Here is a 1,229-nt window from a genome sequence, read left to right as displayed (position 1 = left end):
CCTCCTAAGTGTGACTTCTCAAAGGAAAAAAGTTGCTTTCACAATGGAAATTGAAAACTATATTGGTAAAGGGAGCAGTGGCATTAGTAGATGTATTAGTTTGCTAGGGCTGTCATAGTAAAATACCACATACTGAGTAGCTTAAAAAACAGAAATTTATTTTCTCACATTTGAAGGTTGGAAGTCCAAGATCACGGTCTTTGGTTTCTTTTGAGCCTCTCTCCTTTGCTTGCAGATGGCCACCTTCTCGTGGTGACCTCCCATGGCCTTGCCTCTGAGGTTGTGTATCCCTGTTGTCTCTTTGTGTGTTCAAATTTCCTCTTCTTATAAAGATGTCAGTCAGACTGGATTAGGGCCAATCCTAATAGCATCATTTAAACTTAATCACCTCTTTAAAAGCCCTATCTCCAACAAATACAGTCACACTCTGATGTACTAGGGGTTAGGGCTTTAGCATAAAAATTTGGGGGCCATACAGTTCAGCCCCTAACAGTGGAAATTCTCTGTAGATTGGAGATAACCATGGAAGATGCTGTTATAGAAATCTTTGATTTCAGTGGATGTGATAGGATCCTAGAGGGTCAGAATTCCAGTGATAGCCACCAGTTGCAAAAAGAGCATTTTACCCTAATACAGAGCAGAGCAAAGAATAATAATTGGAATTATTTGAGTGCTGCATCCTTGTGGGGCTAACTGATCATAGTTTCCATGTTGAATCCAATGAATAGGCTATTAGGTTCCTATTTGATCTTTATAACTAAAGCAAAATAAAATCTTTAAGGCTGGTGAATGGAAACTGACTTGAGGTAACATAATGTAGAGTCGAGGACATTCATGACCAAACCCCAGATTTGAGAGAGCTCTCATACTCCACAGCATCTTGACTCAAGGGATGGCTGAGTCCTTTTGAAAAAGTACTTGCAACATTCAGTAAGTGTTTTTCCTAATCCTCCCCAAGTGATTTGCCATTTGCCATAACACTCAAATACTGGAAAAAAGAAAAAAAAACTAGTTATTTTGAGAATTATTGATTAGTGACTGTAAAAAAATGATAATCCTTAGAGGTCCTGTTGATAATCCAAAGTGATAATCTCATTTTGGTCCTCATGTCACAGTTATCTTTTTTGAAAATCAGGTGATTAATGGATTAAGGGTTATTTTGGTATTAAAAGCTAAGTAAAGATCATTGAAACTTCTCCTCCTGTTCAAAGTAGTAAATCAAAAGCAGT

Source organism: Homo sapiens, chromosome 4 (assembly GCF_000001405.40).
Source record: "Homo sapiens chromosome 4, GRCh38.p14 Primary Assembly".
Lineage (NCBI taxonomy): Eukaryota > Metazoa > Chordata > Mammalia > Primates > Hominidae > Homo > Homo sapiens.
This window is presented reverse-complemented; position numbering follows the sequence as displayed.